At 40.5% G+C, this 22,381-nt stretch overlaps 1 long non-coding RNA gene across 2 annotated transcripts in view, besides 1 other annotated feature; it reads right to left on the minus strand.

Annotated features, from left to right (window-relative positions):
- The window catches only part of LOC101928277 (uncharacterized), a 205,476-nt gene that overhangs the window by 24,665 nt on the left and 158,430 nt on the right, over positions 1-22,381 (minus strand). For both annotated transcript variants that reach the window (XR_001744364.2, XR_001744363.2), the window contains one exon: positions 8,256-8,345. This is a non-coding gene — a long non-coding RNA (uncharacterized LOC101928277). The remainder of the gene's footprint in view (positions 1-8,255; positions 8,346-22,381) is intronic.
- Positions 7,403-7,997: an enhancer, noted in NCBI's record as "OCT4-NANOG hESC enhancer chr6:135027094-135027688 (GRCh37/hg19 assembly coordinates)". NCBI's record gives its function as "activates a minimal SCP1, AML or CMV promoter by ChIP-STARR-seq in naive and primed H9 embryonic stem cells {active_cell/tissue: H9 hESC(naive and primed)}" and the evidence as "EXISTENCE:reporter gene assay evidence [ECO:0000049][PMID:30033119]".

The following is a 22,381-nucleotide window of genomic DNA, read 5'->3' on the forward strand; positions in this document are numbered from 1 at the left end:
CTGTCTTGATGATCTGTCCAAGCTGAAAGTGGGATGTTGAAGTCTTCAGCTATTATTGTATTGGGAGTCTACTTTTCTCTTTAGTTCTAATAATATTTTAAATATCTGGAAGCCCTGATGTTAGGGGCGTATATATTTACAAATGTTATATCTTCTTACTGAATTAAACCCTTTATCATTATATAATGACCTTGTCTCTTTTTATAGTTTTTATATTGAAATCTATTGTGTCTAAGTATAGCTACTCCTGCTCTTTTTGGGTTTCCATTTGCATGGAATTTTTTTTTTTTTTTTTTTGCATCTCTTGATTTTCATTCTATGCATGTCCTTGTAGGTGAAGTGTGAAGCAACAGGTTATTGGGTGTTGTATTTTTTTTTCTTTTTTTTTTTTTTTGGAGATGGAGTCTCGCTCTGTCACACAGGCTAGAGTGCAGTGGTGTGATCTCAGCTCACTACAAGCTCCGCCTCCCAGGTTCACGCCATTCTCCTGCCTCAGCCTCCCCACGAATAGCTGGGACTCCAGCTACTACATCAGGGCATCCAGATATAATCCCAGCACTTTGGGAGGCCGAGGCGGGCAGATCATAAGGTCAGGAGATCGAGACCATCCTGGCTAACATGGTGAAACCCCGTCTCTACTAAAAAAATACAAAATATTAGCCGGGCATGGTGGTGGGCACCTGCAGTCCCAGCTACTTGGGAGGTTGAGGCAGGAGAATGGCGTGAACCTGGGAGGCAGTGTTTGCAGTGAGCCGAGATAGCACCACTGCACTCCAGCCTAGGCAACAGAGCGAGACTCTGTCTCAAAAAAAAAAAAAAAGTTGTAGTTATTATTTTTATTAGTTCATCTTTTAGTCTTTCCACTCAAGATATGAGTAGTTTACATATCACAAATATAGTGTTATAATATTCCGTGTTTTTCTGTGTACTTACTATTACCAGTTTTGCACGTTCAGATTGTTTCTTATTGCTCATTAACATTCTTTTCTTTCAGACTGAAGAACTCTTCTTAGCATTTTTTGTAGGACAGGTCTTGTGTTGATGAAATACCTCAGCTTTCATTTGTCTGGGAAAGTCTTTATTTCTCCTTCACGTTTGAAGGATATTTTTACTGGATAAACTATTCTAATATAAAAGAATTTTTTCACTGGCGCTTTAAATGTATCATGCCACTATCTCCTGGCCTGTAAGGTTTCCACTGAAAAGTCTGCTGCCAGATGTATTGGAGCTCCATTGAATGTTACTTGTTTTTTACTCTTGCTACTCTTAGGATTCTTTCTTTATCCTTAACCCTTGGGAGTTTGATTATTAAATGTCTTGAGGCTGTCTTATTTGGATTAAATCTGCTTGGTGTTCTGTAACCATCTTGTACTTGAATATTGATATCTTTCTCTAGGTTTGGGAAGTTTTCTGATATTATCCCTTTGAATAAACTTTCTACCCCTATCTCTCTCTCTCTACCTCCTCTTTAAGGCCAATAACTCTTAGATTTGCCATTTTTAGAATATTTTCTACATCTTGTAGCTGTGCTTCATTTTTTATTTATTTATTTTTTGTCTCCTATGACTATTTATTTTCAAATAGCCTGTCTTCAAGCTCACTCTTTCTTCTGCTTGATCAATTCTGCTGTTAAGGGACACTGATGCATTCTTCAGGATGTCAATTGCACTTCTCAACTCCAGAACTGCTGCTTGACTCTTTTTAATTATTTCAATTTATTTGTTAAATTTATCCGATAGGAATCTGAATTCCTTCTCTGTGTTACCTTGAATTTTTTTGAGTTTCCTCAAAACAGTTATTTTAAATTCTCTGTTTTTCCAGGGTCAGTCCTCAGTGACTTATTTTGTTCATTTGGTGAGGTCATGTTTTCCTAGATGGTTTTGATGCTTGTGAATGTTTGTCAGTCTCTGGTCATTAAAGAGTTGGGTATTTATGGTAGTCTTTTTGTTCTTTTGTTTTTTGTTTTTTTTTTTTTGAGATGGAGTTTGGCTCTTGTTGCCCAGGCTGGAGTACAACGGTGTGATCTCAGCTCACTGCAACCTCTGCCTCCTGGGTTCAAGCGATTCTCCTGCCTCAGCCTCCCAAGTAGCTAGGGTACAGGTGCTTGCCACCATACCCGGCTAATTTTTGTATTTTTAGTAAAGACAAAGTTTCACCATGTTGACCAGGCTGGTCTCAAACTCTTGACCTCAGGTGATCCACTGGCCTCGGCCTCCCAAAGTGCTGGGATTACAAGCATGAGCCACTGTGCCCAGCCAATTTATGGTAGTCTTTGCAGTCTAGGCTTTTTTGTACCCATCCTTTTTGGGAAGGCTTTCCAGGTATGCAAGAGAGTTGGGTCTTATAATCTAAATGTTGGGTCACTGCAGTCATATCTGCATTAGATGAAACCTCAAGCCCGATAACTCTATGGTTCTTGCAGACTCATAGAGGTACCGTCTTGTAAGTCATGTATAAGATTTGGAAGAATTCTCTGATTACCAGGCAGAGATTCTTGTTCTCTTCCCTTACTTTCTCACAGAGTCTTTCTCTCTTGCGTGTATGTGCAGACTTGGCGGTGGAGTGACACAAGCACCCCTGCAGCCACCACCACTAGGACTGCCCTGAGTCAGACTTCAAGCCAGCATGGCACTGGATCTCTCTCAATAGGCCCACAATAACCACCACCTGGCTACTACCTATGTTCACTCAAGGCCCTAGGTAGCAAAACCCATCACTCAGCAGGTAGCAAAACCCATCAGGCTTGTGTCCTTCCCCAGGGCAATGAGTTCCCCCAGCCCCAGGCAGGACCAAAGATGCCATCCAGGAGCCAGGGCCTAGAGTCAGAAACCTTAGGAATCTACCTGATAGCTCTATTCTACTACAGCTGTGCTGGTTCCCTCCCCTTTCTACACAGGAGTCTCCCCTTATGGTCATCACCACTTCAGGCCCCTAATGAGTATTGCTTGGCTGCCACTGATGTACACTCAAGGCTCAAGGGCTCTTCAGTCAGCTTGTGGTGAATACTGCCAGATCTGAGACTCATCCTTCAGGGAAGTGGGCTCCCTCTGGCCCAGGGCAGGTCCAGAAATGCCATCCAAGAGCCAAGGCCTGGAATTGGGAACCCCCAGAGCCCACTTGGTGCTCTACCCGACTCTGGTTGAGCTGGTACCTAAGTTGCAAGACAAAGTCCCCTTTACTCTTTCTCTCCTTTTCTCAAGCAGGAGCCTCTCCTTGTAGCCCACCACAACTCGATGTGCTGGGTCACACCTGAATCCAGCACATCTCAGAGTCTCATCCGAGGCATACTACCTGGGTATTGCTGCTGGTTATTCAGGGCCTAAGGGCTTTTTAGTCAGCACATGATGAATCCTGCCAGTACTGGGTCCTTTACTTCAAGGAAATGGGTTCTCTTCTGGCCCAGAGTGTGTCTAGAAATGTCATCCAAGAGCTAGGGCCTCGAATGGGGGCCTTAGGACTCTGCCTGGTGCCCTGTCCTACTATGGCTGAGCTGGCATCCAAGTTGCAAGACAAAGTTCCTTCTTTTCTCGAGTGGAAGGAAAGTCTCTCTCCTAGCTGCAAGCTGTGCTGCCTGGGGTTAGGGGAGGCTTGGTGCAAGCACTTCCTTGGCCACCCTGGCTGGTGTCTCACTAGGTCACATGCCCCCAGTAAGTCCACTTGCTTTGAGCCCAGCACAGCACCAGGACTTGCCCAGAAATTGCAGCCCTTGTGGCCTAGACTGCTTTTAAAGTTTATTTAGAACCCCAGAGCACTTTAGCCTGTGGTGGCGATGCTTGCCAGAACTCAGGTTCCAACTGCTGGGATGGGCAATTCCCCTCTGGCTAGTGTTAGTCTAAATGTTTTTTCCATGGGCACTGAGTTTTGCCTGGTGTTCCTTTCCACCGTGACAGTGCAGCACCAAGTTCCAAGGCAAAGTCCCACAGTCACTGCACTCTCTCTCCCGCAAGAGCTCAGATTCTCTCCACCACACAGCCCAGCTGCTGCTGGGGAATGGGAGTGGGGGATTGGTGTTGGCAATTCCAGACTGTCTTTCCTACCCTCTTTAATGCCTCTTTCAATGATATGAAGTTAAAACCAGGTACTGTGACAGCTCACCTGATTTTTTATTCTTATGAAGGTGCTTTTTTATGTGGATAGTTGTTCAATTTGGTGTTCCTGCAGGGAGGGTGGTCAGTGGAGGCTTCTATTTAACCATCTTGCTTAGCCTCAAAAATCTGGACTGTTTTCTTGCAAAGCCACCCTGCATCCATGTTAACCTTAGACAAGTCTGAGCTTTTGATATATATGAAATGTTGACTATTTAACAAGCAGCACCCTTGCCCAGTGGAAATGGGTGCTGGGGCTGACTACCCAGCTTGTAGAGAATCAGCTAGTGACTTTTCTCCCTTTGTCTCCTTCCTGTAGTTAACATTTTTTATATTTCTTTCCTTACTAGTATTTACATTGTAAAGTCTATAGCATTGTCTAAAAATAAGTTTGGAGGCTATCAATCGAATTTCCCACTGGATAGAGATAATTAAGTGTTGCCTAGTTATCTTGCTACCTCCGTAAAATTAGAAATGGCTCTTAAAGGCTTTGGAAGACTGAATTAATCTTGTTAATCATTATACTTTTTGTGTATTTGACATATTTCATTCTAAAAGACTAATGGCAGATATAACATCTCTTAGAAAACATTGCTGATCTCTACAACAAAATCACACACTGAACACAGGATAATACACCAGGAGTTCTGGATTCCAAACTGTATGTCCCCATGGAATTTTCCAAGGAGAGGGCAATGGAGCAGCCTCTAGCTCTAGCTCCAACTCAGCTGTTGGCATGATAAGATGGCAACAGGAAAACAAGATTATGCCTTTGGAGGGAGGACCTGCCTCTCAGCTGTTCCCTTGACTTTGCTAAAAATAGACCTACATTTGAATTTTCAACACTTTATTTACTCAGTCATTGATTCACCCAGAGATGGTTAAGGTGAGTGGTGGGAAGGAGGGAGGGAAATGAAAGACAATTAGAGAAGTCCAGTTTTAAGGTCAGGGGAATGAATGATTTTGAATGTTTTTACTTACTAGTGTGAACACAGATCAGGGACAAAAATGATATGCATTCATACACTCCCAGGGAGCTTTCAAAATACATTTGGAACATCCGAATCTTCAAGAAAAACATGCTTATTAATTTAATTATTAACCTGCCTTATTAGAACCAGTGTATTTTCTTTATATTGATTTTATGGTGCAATAAAACTATATTCACTATGATTTATGTTCACTTTATAGCAAATTGGGGCCTTTTGTAGAATCAGAATTAATGACATATTAACAAACATTTCTAGAGCCTCAAAAATAATTTTAATATTGTAAAAGATTATAGAAGTTTAAAATTGATACATTTGGCCACATGCGGTGGCTCACGCCTATAATTTCAGTACTTTGGGAGGCCAAGGCGAGTGGATCACATGAGGTCAGGAGTTCGAGACCAGCCTGACCAACATGGTAAAACCATGTCTCTACTAAAAATACAAAATTAGCTGGGCGTGGCGGTGCATGCCTGTAATCCCAGCTACTCGGGAGGCTGAGGCAGGAGAATTGCTTGAACTTGTGAAGTGGAGGTTGCACTGAGCAGAGATCATGCCATTGCCCTTCAGCCTGGGTGACAGAGTGAGACTCCATCTCAAAAAAAAAAATTGATACATTTTAGTTTTACAGAAAACCTGGTAGAAAAAGGCACAATTTTATGCAAAAGTAATCTCTGATTATAATTCATTCCCAGAGGCAAATGTGGTCTACATTATGACATAAGGTCCAGAAACGCCTAGTAATTAGAACTGAGGCCCTTTTGAATCCACTTAGAAGACATAGGGGCTCTTTCAAGGTATGTGAGTAATGACCCCAGGCTCTCTGACGGAACGCCAGGCACACCTGGCCAACAGGTCTCATCTGCAGAAGTTAGTGGTGGCCACTAGAAAGCCAGTGTTGAGGGAGATTCTGAGTGAACACACAGGTGACATGAAGCAGCCTGTCATGGTGACAGCCAACAGCAGGGGGAGAGGCCATGAGGGTATAATGACTATTATTCAGTATATTTTTCTTCCCTGGTCTAGTCTAGCACCTAATATCTCTCATGCACAATTTCTTAGTTTCATGAGTGAAAATAAATTTCATACTTCACTAAATACTCTGAAGAATTATGTTTACCCACTGACATCAAAGATTGTTCTATCTTTCACGATTTTTCCTTCATAGTTACAGGAGAAACTATAGGGCTATAGGACTATAGTTTTATGTTTAATGACATCAAAATGTCTCCCTTCGGCAGAATATTGGGAATGGTTTAATATGGGGTTATATAGAGATGAATAATATGTGGTTCCTGACCTCATGAAGGTCACCACCAAATGCAGAATAGACACACACGGCGATTAATTGCATTATGTTAGACCATGGGCACCAAACATGGCCCAGTGAAGGGAGGTCGGGATGAAGTTAGGGCATCAAAGAAAGCTGCCTGGTTGAGAAAATGCATGAACTGATCTCCAAAGAATGAGTGTGTATTGTTCAAGAAGAGACCAAATCCCTTTCCCAACTTTCAAGGTCCTGTGGGTTCTAGCCCTGCCTCCCCCATCAGCCTGGGCTTTTCCTGCCTCTTTTCTTGCTCCAGCATCATTGTCATTTTTAGCTTCTCCAGCTCTCATGCTGAAGAACTACTTGGAATGCTCCTCCCTGTGCCCAAAGCTTCTCTCTACACCAGGTTAATTCTTTTTTTTTTTTTTTTTTTTTGAGATGGAGTCTCACTCTGTTGCCCAGGCTTGAGTGCAGTGGCATGATCTCAGTTCACTGCAACCTCTGCCTCCCAGGTTTAAGTGATTCTCCTGCCTCGGTCCCCCAAGCAGCTGGGAGTACACATGCCTGCCAACAGGCCCAGCTAATTTTTCTATTTTTAGTAGAGACAGGGTTTCACCATGTTGGCCAGGCTGGTCTCGAACTCCTGATCTCATGATCTGCTACACCAAGTTAATTCTTACCTATGCTTCAAAGCTCAGCCCACACATTAACTTCTAAAGGAAGCATTTTTGGGGTACCGTATGCTCTCTAGCACCCTTCACTTTGTCTTTAATGCATTCTTCACCACTGTAATAATGAATTGTGTAATTGGTTGTTCACTTTGTTTTCCCCATAGAAACTATAAGCTCCATGAAGGCAGGCATCCGTCTGTATCTTTTCTCACTCTATTTGAGCACGGAGCATAGGATAATACACAAGGCAGACATTCAACAGCTATTTCATGGTGTATCTGTCTGGAATAGAGGATGAAAACATGAACTAGAGCAGTAGGAGTCAGGAGGGAGAGAGAGGAGACACTGGAAATAAGTATGAAATGCGCGTTGGTGTGGCCAGATTGTAGATTTGATGGGAGGGGAGGAATAAAGGATGACTTATGGATTTACTGTCTCACCTATCACTTTTACTTTCCAAAGATGAAACAGTAGTGCCTTATATACCTCTGTACTATTTCATTGAAGACACATTCCACAGCAATTTACTTAATGCTTTTTGATGCTACACATGGAGATCTGAGAGCTAGATGTAAAGTTATCTATTAAAAAGTGAATCTTCAGATGGAAACATCCTATCTTTGCATTGGTCCAAATGCAAATATTCAGTGGCGTGACAATCTTCTTGCTGTGACCATCAGCAGTGAAGGAATTCACAGTAATCACAGGCACAGTATGGGGGGACTTAGAACAATGCTCTGTGAAGCTGCTCCCTCTCCACTTTATTCACTCATCCTTATCCCTTCTCTCCTCACTGTGCTCCCAGAATGTTCTCCCTTCTGCCTGGGAGGGAGCTAGAGCTGTGGCTTGTGTCCCTGTCTGAATGTGGAAGAGGACTAATTCCACTGCTCGCTCCAACCCCAGGCTTTGTGTAACGGTGATCTGCAGTTTCTCCTTTCCCTTCCTCAACTTCAGGAGCTCCTCAACCAAGAAAGAAATTCTTCTCACATTAGAGTTTACCTTCGCTTATTATGTTTAGGTGCAAGGAAAGACTGAATAAAAGTTGAAGCTGGCAGTTAATTCATTACACTGCATTTTCAAGCATTTCAAACATTTCTTCCTAAACTATATTATTTCCTGCAAACATCTACAGCTCTAGTATTTGTTTTTTAAAATTATATATATGCACATATACAAATACATATATACATACATATGTGTATATACACTCATCTTTTTCCTTTATAGACTTCTTGATTAGTACCTTAAATCCCAAGTAACATCGTCAGTCTTCAGAGGAGCATCCTGTCACATAACACATGGTTTCTCTGTTTTCACAGCCTCACCCATGATCCTGGAAGGAATGTCAAGAATCATTTCTGTAACTAGAGAGATATCCCAAGGACGAGGCTTATCTCCTTAAGGAAGAAATCTGACTTGCTTTCAGAGCCTTACATATAACCACTGTTTAGCTATGTGAAAAGAATTTATATGTTTGACCTAATTGATAAAGAACCCCTGGAATGCTCCTAAATCTCTGAGCAACTATATTCCAGAGTGCAGGAATCACTTGGGAATTCATTTGAATTGTCTGATCTTAACTGCTGAAGTCTATCCACTGAGAAACCCCTGGTGCATCTCAATAGCTGCATCTTATTGTGGTCATATTTTGTTTCTTTTATTGCTTCCATTGCCCTTCCTCTCTCCCCCATTACCTTGCCTCTCTCTCTGTTTTTTTTCCTCCCTCTCCCACTCTCTTCTCTTCTCCCTCTCCCTCTCGCCTTTTGTTCTCTCAAGTGCCTCTTCATGTTGTTTTTATTCCAGATCCTCAGTAATTCTTATTGCAATATGCCCAGAACTAAAAAGGCTGCTGACCAGTGCTAGAACATACAGTCTAGGACCTGTAAATCCCACACAGCTCCTCCTACAGAGCTCTAGGTAATGCCCAAACTGAGGAGGTAACCATGGTGATGACTTGGATCAACAAACAATGTGCAAAGAGGCTTAAGCAGTAAGTTATGTAACACTCCATGCGGGTCTAGAGGCGAAGCTCTACTTAGACTAAGGGATAAAGGTTCAAGGTTCATGTTACCTAACAATATATCGCCTAGATACAAACACTAGTGATTTATTTCACTTACATGGTAAGATTTTATGTGGTTGGCACGAACTGGCATAGAACATTGCTAGTTGTAAGATGAAAGAGTAGAACCAATCAACAATGGAGAATGCTGTGCCTAGAAAACACCCCACCCACCCCTGCTGTTGTATTATCTAATACACTCTGACTTTGGAGGAACAGCTCATCATCTCAAAGTTCCCCCACCTTTGACTTTGCTTCTCTGATGTGGAAAGTTCCAGTGACCCTGTTTCTTCCAGGTAACTTTGCTGTGAAGTTCAGTTCTGCCTGATCTTTGGCCAGCAGCAGGGAATTCAGGCTGTTTGTCGAGATCATGATTATAACTTATGAAAATGAGAAAAGTATTCCCAGATACAAACCCATCCTTGCCCTGCCAATCCATGCTAAGAAGGCTGCTGTAGAGAAATGTAATGCAAATTATCAAAACTAAGTGGGTATGACAGCCTCTTTCCTGATCCACACACATCCTCAGGCTGCTCTGATGTGATTTTTCTTGTTCTTCAAGGCTGCTTTTGCTATATGTTTTATTTTGTCTCAATAGAATAGGGGTATTACACAATACAGGCTACTTCGTAGCTGATTTCCTTCCCATGTTCTCAGAATAGCCCAGAATGAGATTAAGAACCAAGCAAGTAATAGAGGCAGGAGTATATTTAGGGCATGGCAACCTCTAGGTGGCTTTGTCTTTTGCTTTCATTGCTATCTCATCAGCTATTCTGTCCTCCCCCCAAGAATAAATAGAACAAGGATGTAACCAAGGAAAATCAAATTCTCCTCTATTAGACAATTCATTACATGTGAATAATTTTTGAGACACAAGAAACCTCTTCATCCTCCAGTATATAAATTTTTCTTTTTTTTTTATTTTAGTGGCATCAAGAAATGCGTATCTAATATTTTTGCAAAATAAACCCAAGGCCCATTCAAAAGGATGGTCACCTCTGGATGATAGTCTCATTGTGATGAGAATAAACATGAGATGTTACAGATATCCAACAAATACACAGAGGACAAGATCTTGCACTGCCTTTTTAACAGGAAAGATAAATCTTAACTCATCCACCCACCCTCCATTGCCTAGTTGTCACTCTGCACATACTCAGTGAAGAAGGTTGCAATCTTCAATAAAGTTTATACCATAAAATAGCTGTGATGTGCTTGCACTGAAGCACATCAAACCTCTCAGAGCTAACTAGCTTTTACCAAGATCAATCCAAGGACCTCTCCGTATTAGGTCCCAAGCCTTAACCACTGACACTCCAGGCCTAAGAAGGGAATTCATGAAGACACCACTAGTAAATCACTCAAAAAGAAGGAAATATTGAATGCATTCCAGATTCTTGTATCACAAGTATTGCACTTCTCTCTTCATTTCTGAAGTTCGTCATGAAAGGGCAATAGTATTGGTAATCTCAGTTTTCCTCTTTCTTAAGGAAAATTGCTTTTTCTCAGAATCTTAGGAGCACAAATGAGAAGGGATCTTAAAAGCCATCTAGCCCTACACTACAGCAACTACAAAAACAAATCATCTTTTTGTCACATCCAAGGATCAGCGCCTGCTCTCAGCCTCAACCACCCTAGCAACAAGGAACTAAACTGCATCACAACATTGCATTTTCTGTTCCATTTTTGGACAAGTAAAATTGATGAAAAATTCTGTATCTTGTATGAGCTTAAGACTTTCAAAACCTAAGCATTTAAAAAAATGATGATGCTCCCTGCCTTTCAGGCAATATGTAATTCAAATTTTTAAAATACCAATTTGTAAAATAGGAGAACAAAACTAAGGTTCTGAATTTCCTCATTAAAAACATTGATATTTTCTTTCTAAATTTCAAATGGTAGACTCTTTTAAAAAAAAAAAAAGCAAATAAAAAAGTCTTCCTTAGTTTCTTTTTGGCCTTTGATGTGCTTGCTTGCTGGCATCCTGCATCCATGGTTAACTTGCTAGTGGGAAATACATCATTACCATTCTATGTCTTCCATTTTGCAAATTAAACATTCTCTCTTTTCACTGTTCTTCAGAAATCACAGTTTCCGGCCGGGCATGGTGGCTCACGCCTGTAATCCCAGCACTCTGAGAAGCTGAGGAGGGTGTATCACGAGGTCAAGAGTTTGAGACCCGTTTGCAATCTTGACTATTCCATGTTTGCATGCTGTGTCCATGCAAAGAGGACACCTCTTCCTAATTTGCAGAAAGATGCCATAAAGCAGAAAGGTGTATGCTTGAAAAAAAATGCAAGTTAAGGTTTTTAACTAGGAACTCAGTGAATTAATGCTACTGTGTGGTTGCCAAGAGTTGGAGAGGGCATTCCCAAGCACCACGTCTGAGTAAGGGTGCTTACAAAACAAAGATGATTTGTTTTTGTAGTTGCTGTAGTGTAGGGCTAGATGGCTTTTAAGGTCCCTTCTCATTTGTGCTCCTATGATTCTGAGAAAAAGCAATTTTCCTTAACACCAGTCAAGATTGCAAACACCAGTTTGCAATATTGACTGGTCAATATGGTGAAACCCCGTCTCTACTAAAAATACAAAAATTAGCTGGGCATGGTGGCACGCACCTGTAGTCGCAGCTACTTGGGAGGCTGAGGCAGGAGAATTGCTTAAAACCAGGAGGCGGAGGTTGCAGAGAGCTGAGATCACACCACTGCACTCCAGCCTGGGCGACAGAGCAAGACTCCGTCTTAAAAAAAAAAAAAAAAAAAAGTCAATAGTTCCCAGATTATCACCTTTCTCTTCTAGTTGTGCCCTAATTTACTACGGTTCTTCTCTCCACTCTCAATATATCCAGCTCAGCTTGAACCAGACACTGACCACCCTTACTCAGACGTGGTGCTTGGGAATGCCCTCTCCAACTCTTGGCAACCACACAGTAGCATTAATTCACTGAGTTCCTAGTTAAAAACCTTAACTTGCATTTTTTTTCAAGCATACACCTTTCTGCTTTATGGCATCTTTCTGCAAATTAGGAAGAGGTGTCCTCTTTGCATGGACACAGCCCTTACTCATGCCCTCAGCCAGGAACCTGTATGCAGCATGCAAACTGTTGAAGCCCACCAGTGGGATTTGCAATCTGCCCACCCCTCCTGTGTTTGTGTTGCTAATTTTCTGGAACTGAGGGCAACCTTTATATATCTCCCTTTTACTTTTTATCCTGTTAGATTTGGTCCATTGTTCCATCCTGTCAAGTTATTTTGGGTTCCAACGTATTTGCCCTCCCACCCAGCTGCAGAGTCATCAAGAGACCATCTTAATCTGGCAGCTCAGAGGCCCTATCAAAAGGAAGTGAGATCTGGCAAGGGAGCTATTATTCATCTCATTCTGACTTTAGTGATGGCCTCTTCCCTCTCTATTATTCATCTTGTTCTGACTTTAGTGATGGCCTCTTCCCATGATGGTCTCATCATGACAATATATTTCAGAGTTTTTTCAGTATCAGTATCAAATATTCTGTTTTGTGGACTGAAGAGTCTAAACTTCTTCCCATGTCTGAAAACTAGGACATTTTCTGATCTCCATCCAGTCTCAGGACACATCTCCTGTGCTCCACAATTCCGCAACCATTACTGACAGCCATTTTCAATTGAAATCACACAGAGCCAAAGGCAGAGGTCTCATGAAATTTCTTTTGAAGTAGTTTAACTGTGGATTTTTACAGATAAATGGAAAATTTTCTATAATACAGAGTTTTTTTTTTTGTTGTTGTTGTTTTTTTTACTTTTGTTTTACTGCAGTTTAGAAGTTTCTTTATTCACCTTTTTCCAGGAAGGGCAAACTGCTGTCTTCTAGTTAAATGTAGAATATTTTTTAATGCAACAATAAAATTCCAGCAACTACAAAATGATGATTCTTTAAAAATGTGTATAATTTTCTATTCCTTTTCATTTTTGCCATATGATTTTGCCATTCACCGTAGGATCTTTTCTCATTTGGAACTTCAAACTATTGAAAAATATAATTAGTATCCCATTTTGTACGTGGGTTAAAATTTCAGTACAGAAATCTTATTTGTAATTTTATGTAACTATATAGCTATGATTACACAACTCTATTATCTGTGAATTATTTTAATCTGTATTTTAACCTTTATCAAAAAGAATAGAATATACTAAGTTATTTAGATCAAAGTTGTATCACTATATAGAAAATCTAGTCTCTATTTAGCATTGTTTCTGATTGGCATAGAGAAAAATGTGGAGATACATTTTTTTTGCCATATATGAGCTCTTTCAGACTTTTTAAAAGAAATATTATACCTACAGAAAGAAACCATTTCAGCCGGCACAGTTTTATTTTCCACTTACATTGCCAAAAGCCATACCATCTTTCCCGTCTTTGCATTTTTGTGATTGTCCAATTTGCCTAAATAAGAAAGTGTAAGCATCTGCCAGCACCCTATATAGTCAAAGCCTTCTCAGCGGATTCCATTTGCACAGGGTCTGCAGATTTAGAGATAGCAAGAAGCCAAAGGAAGAGATCTGCAGTTCAAACAAAGAAGAATCTTTCTTCTCCAAAGTTGGCATGGGATGCAGACTCAAGCCTAACCTAGGAATAAAAATTGAAAATACGATACAGTGATTAGAAGAACCAGGAAAAGCTTGTGAATTAGAACCGAACTACATAAAGGAGAAGCTGAATGTTTAATCAGTCCAAGTAATATGAGACTACTGAAACTACTATTAATAATATTATCATACTTAACCTGTCCCAGGCACTGTGCTAAACTCATTACATTTTATAAGTGTGATCCTAATGAATTGTCATGATGACACTATCATAAAAGCACTGATGTAATCTGCATTTCACAGATGAAAAAACTGAAGCTCCAAGATGTTAGGTAACTTGCTCAAGATGATGAATTTAGTAAGAGGCAGAGTCAGATTTTAAACCTGTCATAACCCTGTACTTTTGACTTCTTTCTAAATTTCCTATATGGTTCACCTCAGAAATAAAAAATGTTGCTTTTTTCTCTTCAACACTAGACTCAGGTGGACAGAATGGGATTAATCATAATTAGATTTATCACTGATAATGTATAGCCTGATTTTATTGGTTTATCAGTAAGCTATCTCTAAAAATATATAATTACCCGCAAACGCACCACCAAAACCAAAGGCCAGAACCTTGACACCAAACGCCATCTAACTCCACAGTCTCCAGCATCCCAAACCCAAGCTCAACTCATCCGGGATAAATATTATCCTGAATCCTGTGTTCCTTACTTCCTTGATTCATTTTAAAATCGTATATGTTGCATCTATATGAACTCCTTACAAAGGACATATTTTTAGTTTTGTTATTTTTAACTTTGATTCATCTATGTTGTTTCATGTCTCTGTAGTTCATTATTTTTGATTGATGTACAATATTTCCCAGTCTTGTTGATGGGCATTTGAGCTATTTCCTAGGTTTTTTTTCTATAATAAACAGTGCTGCTATACATTTTAAATCCTTGTATCCTGTTATTGGTATGTAACTTTCCTTTGGGTATCTACTTAGTAGCAGTATTTCTGGGGTGTAGGAGACATAGGAGATGTTCAACTCCAGGAGAAAATGTCAAGCCAATACATGATCCTATCAACAGTATTGAGATCCTGTTGATTCTTATCGTTTCTAATACTTGATATCAGACACTACAATTTTTGCCTACTATCTAAGTATAAAATAGTATTTGTTGGCCAGGTGTGGTGGCTCATGCCTGTAATCCCAGCACTTTGGGAGGCCGAGGTGGGTGGATCACAAGGTCAGGAGTTCAAGACCAGCCTGGCCAATATGGTGAAACTGTCTCTCTACTAAAAATACAAAAATTAGCTGGGCGTGGTGGTGGGTGCCTATAGTCCCAGCTACTTGGGAGGCTGAGGCAGGAGAATCGCTTGAACCCAGGAGGTAGAGGTTGCAGTGAGCCGAGACCGCGCCACTGCACTCCAGCCTGGGAGACAGAGCAAGACTCCATCTCAAAAAAAAAAAAAAAAATACTATTTGTTGTAGTTTGGATTTGCTTTCCCTGACCACTAATGATGTTGTGTACCTCATCATTTATGTATCAGCTAAATATTTTTCTTCTTCTGTGGAAGACCCTAACCCTGTCCACAGAGGAGGTAAAATTAAAGGAAAAAAAAAAAAAAGAATAACCTAACCCAAGGGCCAAATCCTTGCCAGAGAAATTGCCCTTATTTTAGCCTTGATTTTTAGTAACTTAAGAGTTAATTCAAGATCTAATAGAAATGGGATAGTAACCTTATTTTATAACAACACCTAATATGTGCTTAAAGGCTGACTTACTGCCTTTAATTGTTTTTACTATCTTTTTGCAAAATATCATCCCCATATTACATAACCAGACACAGAGGACCCTTTTACGTAGTAAAATTATATTGCAAAGAATCCTCAGTTCTTAGTACCAAATTTCCCCAGAGCACATGAATTTCTAGGGGCCGCCAACAGTCCTGACTACCTGTTGCACAGATCAGAAGCATGCTGCCTGACTGCAAAGGCTAACATGTGAAGAAAGGCTTTTGCCTTTATAAGGATGTCATAAGCAGTCTTTCACGTAACAGGAAGTTGTAGTGCATACAAATGCTATTTTAAAGTCTGGGGATATTTAATCATACCTTAATCTTTATTATTTATATTTCCCGGTGCCAGTGTCCACAACTATTGTCCAAAGTGTGACAGAAAGAAATCCTGTAGCAGGAAGCCCAGAGCCTACTCATGGACACCTGTTGCAACTTGAATCGCAACCAGTACTTGCAAAACAATGCATATATGTGAACAACTAAGTGTAGCCACTGGCCCTGCCTTACTAATATAGAAGGAGATTACAACTCCACCTGCTGCCCCTGATATTTTAGGTGTCTCTGGAAGCAGAGGAAGAAATGGAAAAACGACATAGGTAGTAAGAAATGTTCGTGGCGGCAAATCCACATGGATCTGCAGCAACCTCAATTCTTGCTTCCTCAGAAGAAAGAATTCGACTAAGGGGCATAAGGCAGAGGGAGAGCCTGAAGCAAGTTTTAGAGGAGGAGTGAAAGTTTATTAAAAAGTTTTTAGCAGGAATGAAAGGAAGTAAAGTACCTGGAAGAGGGCCAAATGAGCAACTTGAGAGATTCAAGTGTGTGGTTTAGCCTTTGACTTGGGGTTTAATATGTTGGCAAGCTTCCAGAGGTTGCGTCTCTTCTCCAGTGAGCCTTCCTTGGAGTGGGCTGTCCGCATGCGTAGTGGCCTGCCAGCACTTGGGAGGGGCCGCATGCGCAGTATGTTTACTAGAGTTGTGCACATACTCACTTGAGGAATTCTTCCTTCACCAGCGGAATGTTCCCATAGGACGGTCATATGCCACTTAGGAAACTCTCCCATTTTGCCTCCTAGTGCGCATGCATGAGCCCACTTGGCCAACTCCTGAGATCTTGTCAGGAAGCTGCCAATCACCAACTTTAGATGTTTTGTTAATCTAGGGAGACTGCCTTTCCCCTGGCACTGGCTGCAACCAATTATTAGGTTGGTGCAAAAGTAATTGCCGTTACTTCCAGTGGCAAAAACAGCAATTACTTTTGCACCAACCTAATATTATTTTAGAGAGACAGTTTAACAAGCACCTGACCACCACATGATGATTGCCTGACATTCCTGGTGGCGGGGGAACCTCTGTGCCCTACTCATGTTTAACTATCTATCGTAACGGAAACAAGAGTACAACCATAGAGGAAAAAAATAAGGAAAGAGACTGCTAGAAAATAGCCAGAAAATTCTCATTTTCCCACCTAAAATAACAGATGCCTATAAAACTCTTCTTATTACAACAATACATAGCAGGGAGCATATGCAAGAGTGGGAAACGTAGGAGAAATTCCCCTCTGAAACCCCTTATACTGGAAAACTGGGCTTCAACGATTGAACTTGGAGAAACAGACATATCTCTGTAATTAATGTAATTCAGTTTTTTCCCAATGGTCTTTGTTGATAATATAGTCCAATCAGTGGTATTTTCCCCAACTGGCAAAAAGACTCAGGCCCTTTACGTATCACCTGGCTATTTTGGGAGTTTCTAGGAGTACATGATCAAATCTGGTTGGAAAATTGGTAAGTTACTGAATTGGGATGTACTTCTTTCTTCTATTCCTAATCAGAGCCCTGTCATCTGTGTACCGCAGGGTAACATTACCACCCTTACTGGGTACTTTATATTGTCAGGCCCTGCTGCTTTTTCTCCTGCATTCTGTCTGATTCAACACACACTGCTCTCACTTCCACTGGATCTTGAAGGACGAGTGTTAAACTTGGTTTGCATTAAAGTGAAAGAAAACATTTCTCTCTCTCTCTCTCAATGTCAAAAATCAATGTTTAGAACTCTTAGGAGGAACTATCAGTCAATGATTTTTAGACTTTGGAGCAGGAAATAACATATGAAACACACAACATGTTAACTTTTAAAAGCAAAAAAACAAGCTGCACAAATTCGACCTCATTAAAATTAAGGCGTTACAATTAAGAAATTTGTCAACAGACACCTTAAATAGAATGGACAAATTATAAACTGAAAGAAGCCATTTGAAAGATACACAACCAACTAGGATTTGTTCAAAAAAAAAATATATATATATATAAAAGTTCAATAAGTCAATAAAGAAACCAATAGAAAAATAGACAAAAAACATGAACAATCATTTCACAGAAGAAGAATCATATATGGGCAATAAACACATGAATTCACGTTCAATCTCAGTGATCAGGAATTATAAATTAATGCAACAATGAAGTACTATTGTGTACCCATTTGGTTGGCAACAATTGAAGAGTCTGATAATATCTCATGTTGGAAAAGATGTATATCCACAAGGCATTTCACAAAGTTGCTGGTAGGAGTAAAAATTGGTAAAACTATTTAGACTATTTTAGCATTAGCTCCTGAAGTTGAACACTCACATAACCCTTTGATCCAGCAATTTCATTGAGCATAAGCATATACTCAATTTCTCTTTAGTATAAGCATATACTCAAGAGAAAGTCTGCATGTGTTCACCAGGAGATATATATATATGAGTGTTCATGGTTCACAATCATGGAAACCTGTGTATTAGTCTGTTTTCATGCTGCTATAAAGAACTGCCCAAGACTGGGTAATTTCTAAATGAAAGAGGCTTAATTGACTCACAGTTCATCATGGCTCACGCCTGTAATCCCAGCACTTTGGGAGGCTGAGGCGGGTGGATCACCTGAGGTCAGGAGTTTGAGACCAGCCTGGCCAACATGGTGAAACCCCGTCTCTACTGAAAAATACAAAAATTAGCCTGGCGTGGTGGCATGCGCCTATAGTCCCAGCTACTCGGGAGGCTGAGGCATGAGAATCACTTGAACCCAGGAGGCAGAGGTTGCAGTGAGCCGAGATCACATCATTGCACTCCAGCCTGGGTGACAGAGCAAGACTATGTCTCAAAAAAAAAAAAAAAAAAAATCACATATTTTTCTTTTGTTTTTTTTTTTTTTTTGAGACAGAGTTTTACTTTTGTCACCCAGGCTGGAGTGCAGTGGCACGATCTCAGCTCACTGCAAGTTCCACTTTCCGGGTTCAAGCGATTCTCCTGCCTCAGCCTTTCAAGTAGCTGGGATTACAGGAGCCTGCCACCACACCCGGCTAATTTTTTGTATGTTTAGTAGAGACCGGGTTTCACCATGTTGAGCAGGCTGGTCTCGAACTCCTGAGCTCAGGTGATCCGCCCGACTCGGCCTCCCAAAGTGCTGAGATTACAGGCGTGAGCCACTGCGCGGGGCCCAATTCATATTTTTTAATAAACATATAAAGTTTCTAAAGTTTCTGAATTTTCTTAAATTTACATTGTCAAATGTAACAACCTTCCCTTTGGGGTTTCTTTTCTTACAAATCTTATTTCATAACAAGATCAAATAAATAAGAACCTATCTTTTCTGTCAGTTGCTTCATGATTTCTTTTTAGTGTATAACTATTTTACCCATCTTGATTTATTTTGGTATATGGTATTAAATGGAAATCTAGTGAGGTTTTTATTCAAATAAATAACCAATTTTTCTGACATCATTTACTGGATATTCTCTTTCCAATGTGATTTGTGGTATCACCTTGATATATACTATATAATCTTTTATACTATGATCTATTTCTGGGACATCTTGATTCACTGAGCAGTCTATACTCCTGTCAGCACCACACTGATTTAGGTGACTCACATTTGTAATCCCAGCACTTTGGGAGGCTGAGGAGAGTGGATCACCTGGGGTCAGGAGTTACCAGCCTGGCCAACATGGTGAAACCCTGTCTCTACTAAAAAAAATACAAAACTTAGCTGGGCGTGGTGGTGGGTGCCTGTAATCCCAGCTACTAGGGAGGCTGAGGCAGGAGAATTGATTGAACCTGGGAGGTGGAGGTTGCAGTGAGCTGAGATTGTGCTACTGCACTCCAGCCTGGGCGACAGAGCGAGACTCTGTCTCAAAATAATAATAAATAAATAAATAAATAAATAAATAAATAAAATAGCTTTAAAATACAATTTCATATGTAGAAAGTTCTTCCTCTCCTCCTACATTACTTTCTTTTTTCAGAAGGTGCTTTTCCATTTATTCTTCCAGATGAGACCTGTTCTTCAGTTTAAATTAGTCCTCTGGAGAATATCAGATACAAATAAGAAAGAAATTCAAAATACAGGTTAAGATACCATAAAATTTATATCCATGTCATATTTGCAAGCCGAACTATCCATTTTATTTAGAAATGTTTCCTCCTTTATTTGGATATACAATGGAATTAATTATTCATTATTGATTTATACTAAAATGGATTATCTCTTAACTATGTTAACAAAGTAGCACAGCATGCCTGGATAAAAATATTACCAGAACTTTATTTTAGTTAGTATCTATGGCTTCTTCCCTCTTAAACTTTTCACCAGAGCTATCAGGAAAAAAGCCAAAGAGAAAGTTTCAATTTTTTTCTCTTTTTTTTTTTAACCTTCTTTTGCAGAGTTGACAACAAATCCCCAAATCAGTTGATGATACAGCCAGTGGCCTGTCAGTCCTGTATAATCCTCCTACTGAAAAATATCCCCTAAAAAAGTCCACAGCAGAAACTTTATTTAATTAATTAATTTATTTATTTGTTTGTTTCTTTTTTGAGACAGAATCTCGCTCTGTCACCCAGGCTGGAGTGCAGTGGCGCAATCTCTGCTCTCTGCAACTTCCTCCTCCTGGATTCAAGCAATTCTCCTGCCTCAGCCTCCCGAGTAGCTGGGATTACAGGCGCCTATCAGCACGCCCAGCTAATTTTTGTATTTTTAGTAGAGACAGGGTTTCGCCATGTTGGCCGGGTTGGTCTCGAACTCCTGACCTCAGGTGATCCGCCCATCTCAGCCTCCCAAAGTGCTGAGATTACAGGCGTGAGCCACTGCGCCCGGGCAGAGCAGAAACTTTAAAGCCACCTATGAAGTATTTATTTATATTCTTTTCTTTGGAATTAAAGAAATCCCAAATATAAGAATAGGTTTTAGAGCTTCCATTGCAAATTCATTGCCAAGGGTAAAATATGATGGAGTAGTTTAAAAGGAACATCTAGTCAACTAGCCATTCTCTCCTCCAGGGAAGGAATTTCTTCTACAACACCTCGTGGCCAATAGACGTTTTTCTTCTACACAAACACTTTTAGTAACATGTGACTTTCTAGCCAACACCCAGCTGTTGGAGTGAAAAATCTAAAAATAGAAATTATTCAACAAAATCACTCCAAATTTGCTTAAATGCAAATAACCTGAGATGCTCTGTAATCCAAAACAACAGCTCCGGAAATAATTGCTGATACGTTTATTGATGCTGCAATATTGGGAGTTCCAAGGTAGAACCCTGTGGAAGAGAAGAAACTCAACCATCACCAGTCAATACTAGCAAACATATAAGCGGCACAGGCTACAAGTAAAGCTCTGAACAAGACACGAACTTGAAAGAAGCCAATGCCAGAAGCCTTGCTCTTGAGATGCTTACAGCCTGAGTGGTCAGGGCACACACACACTAACCCAAGGTCACACAACATTGATGCTAAACAAGTACCAGAAGAAATAAATCTTCACTCCATGTTTTGTGAACCCATTCATTTGTGGTTCCATTTTGCCTCCTACTCTTGTTTCCTTTTGCCTGGATGTTCTGAGCTTTTTATTTGTTTAGCCTTGCTGGATTATATGCATCTTATTCAGCAATTTAGAGATAAGGTGGAGGCACTACTCCGCAGTACAGCAAAGTAGTTAGGAGCTGAGATACAGCTTATCCACCAGTTTCTATAAAATGCCCATTCTGGCTCAGGGTCAACTGAGTTGGCCCTAGCCAACTGCTATGCCTTCTGAAAGTCACCACTCACTGACATCAGACTGCTTAGCTGCATCATATTCGCCTGGCAAATACTAATCTCATCACTCAAAATTCAGTTCCAAAAAACTGCACTGGGACTGAAGCAGGACTCTTTGTGCAAAAATAAACCAGGCATTTCAAAACATTTGAAATCAAATAGATGAAAATGTTGCAATATTACTTTTCAGACATTTGCTTTGTCTAATTTGCTTTTCATTCACTAGTTTACATTTTCTAAAAGGACTTGTATTTTTATGATGTGCATGACTTCCACACTGCCCACAATCAATGTCAAATGAAAGACCTAACTTGTTACCTAGTCCTCTGCCTACTAAAACAGTGCTGTCTAATCAGGCATCTCTCTGCGGAAACAGGCCTTCCTACAGCAGGAAGCAGAGGAAAGAGGACTGGAGACAGCAATCCCAGCGGCTTTTTTGCCAGAAAGGACAAAATGGCTCTTCTGGCAACTCCTGACTCAGGAAATCGCTGAATTAAGTAGTCAATCTGCAGAGTAATTTAGCATGTCATCTGCTTCCTGGCAACAGATATTTGGAAGCATTTTTATTTTAATTCATCTCTGTCATCATCAGGGTTATAGCTGCTTCTCTCTGAGGACCTCAAGGTCAGAGATGTGGGACCTCAAGGTCAGAGATTTTTCTGTAGTTCTTATAGAGCCAGTTCTTTGAGCTTCTTCCTGCCCTGTCTAGGCCCCAGTAGGCTCACTTCTCCTTTGATTTTGGTCAGGTCAAGCAAACCCCTGTCATCAGAGCTAAATATAAGTTGTATGTAAGTGGGTGGAGGCCCTTGCAGTGGGTTCCCTGGAAAATACACTTGTAAGTGTACAAAAGAATGAAGGTGCAATTGCCTGCCCAGGAGTTGCAGAAGCATC

The sequence above is a fragment of the Homo sapiens genome, chromosome 6 (assembly GCF_000001405.40).
Source record: "Homo sapiens chromosome 6, GRCh38.p14 Primary Assembly".
Classification (NCBI taxonomy): domain Eukaryota; kingdom Metazoa; phylum Chordata; class Mammalia; order Primates; family Hominidae; genus Homo; species Homo sapiens.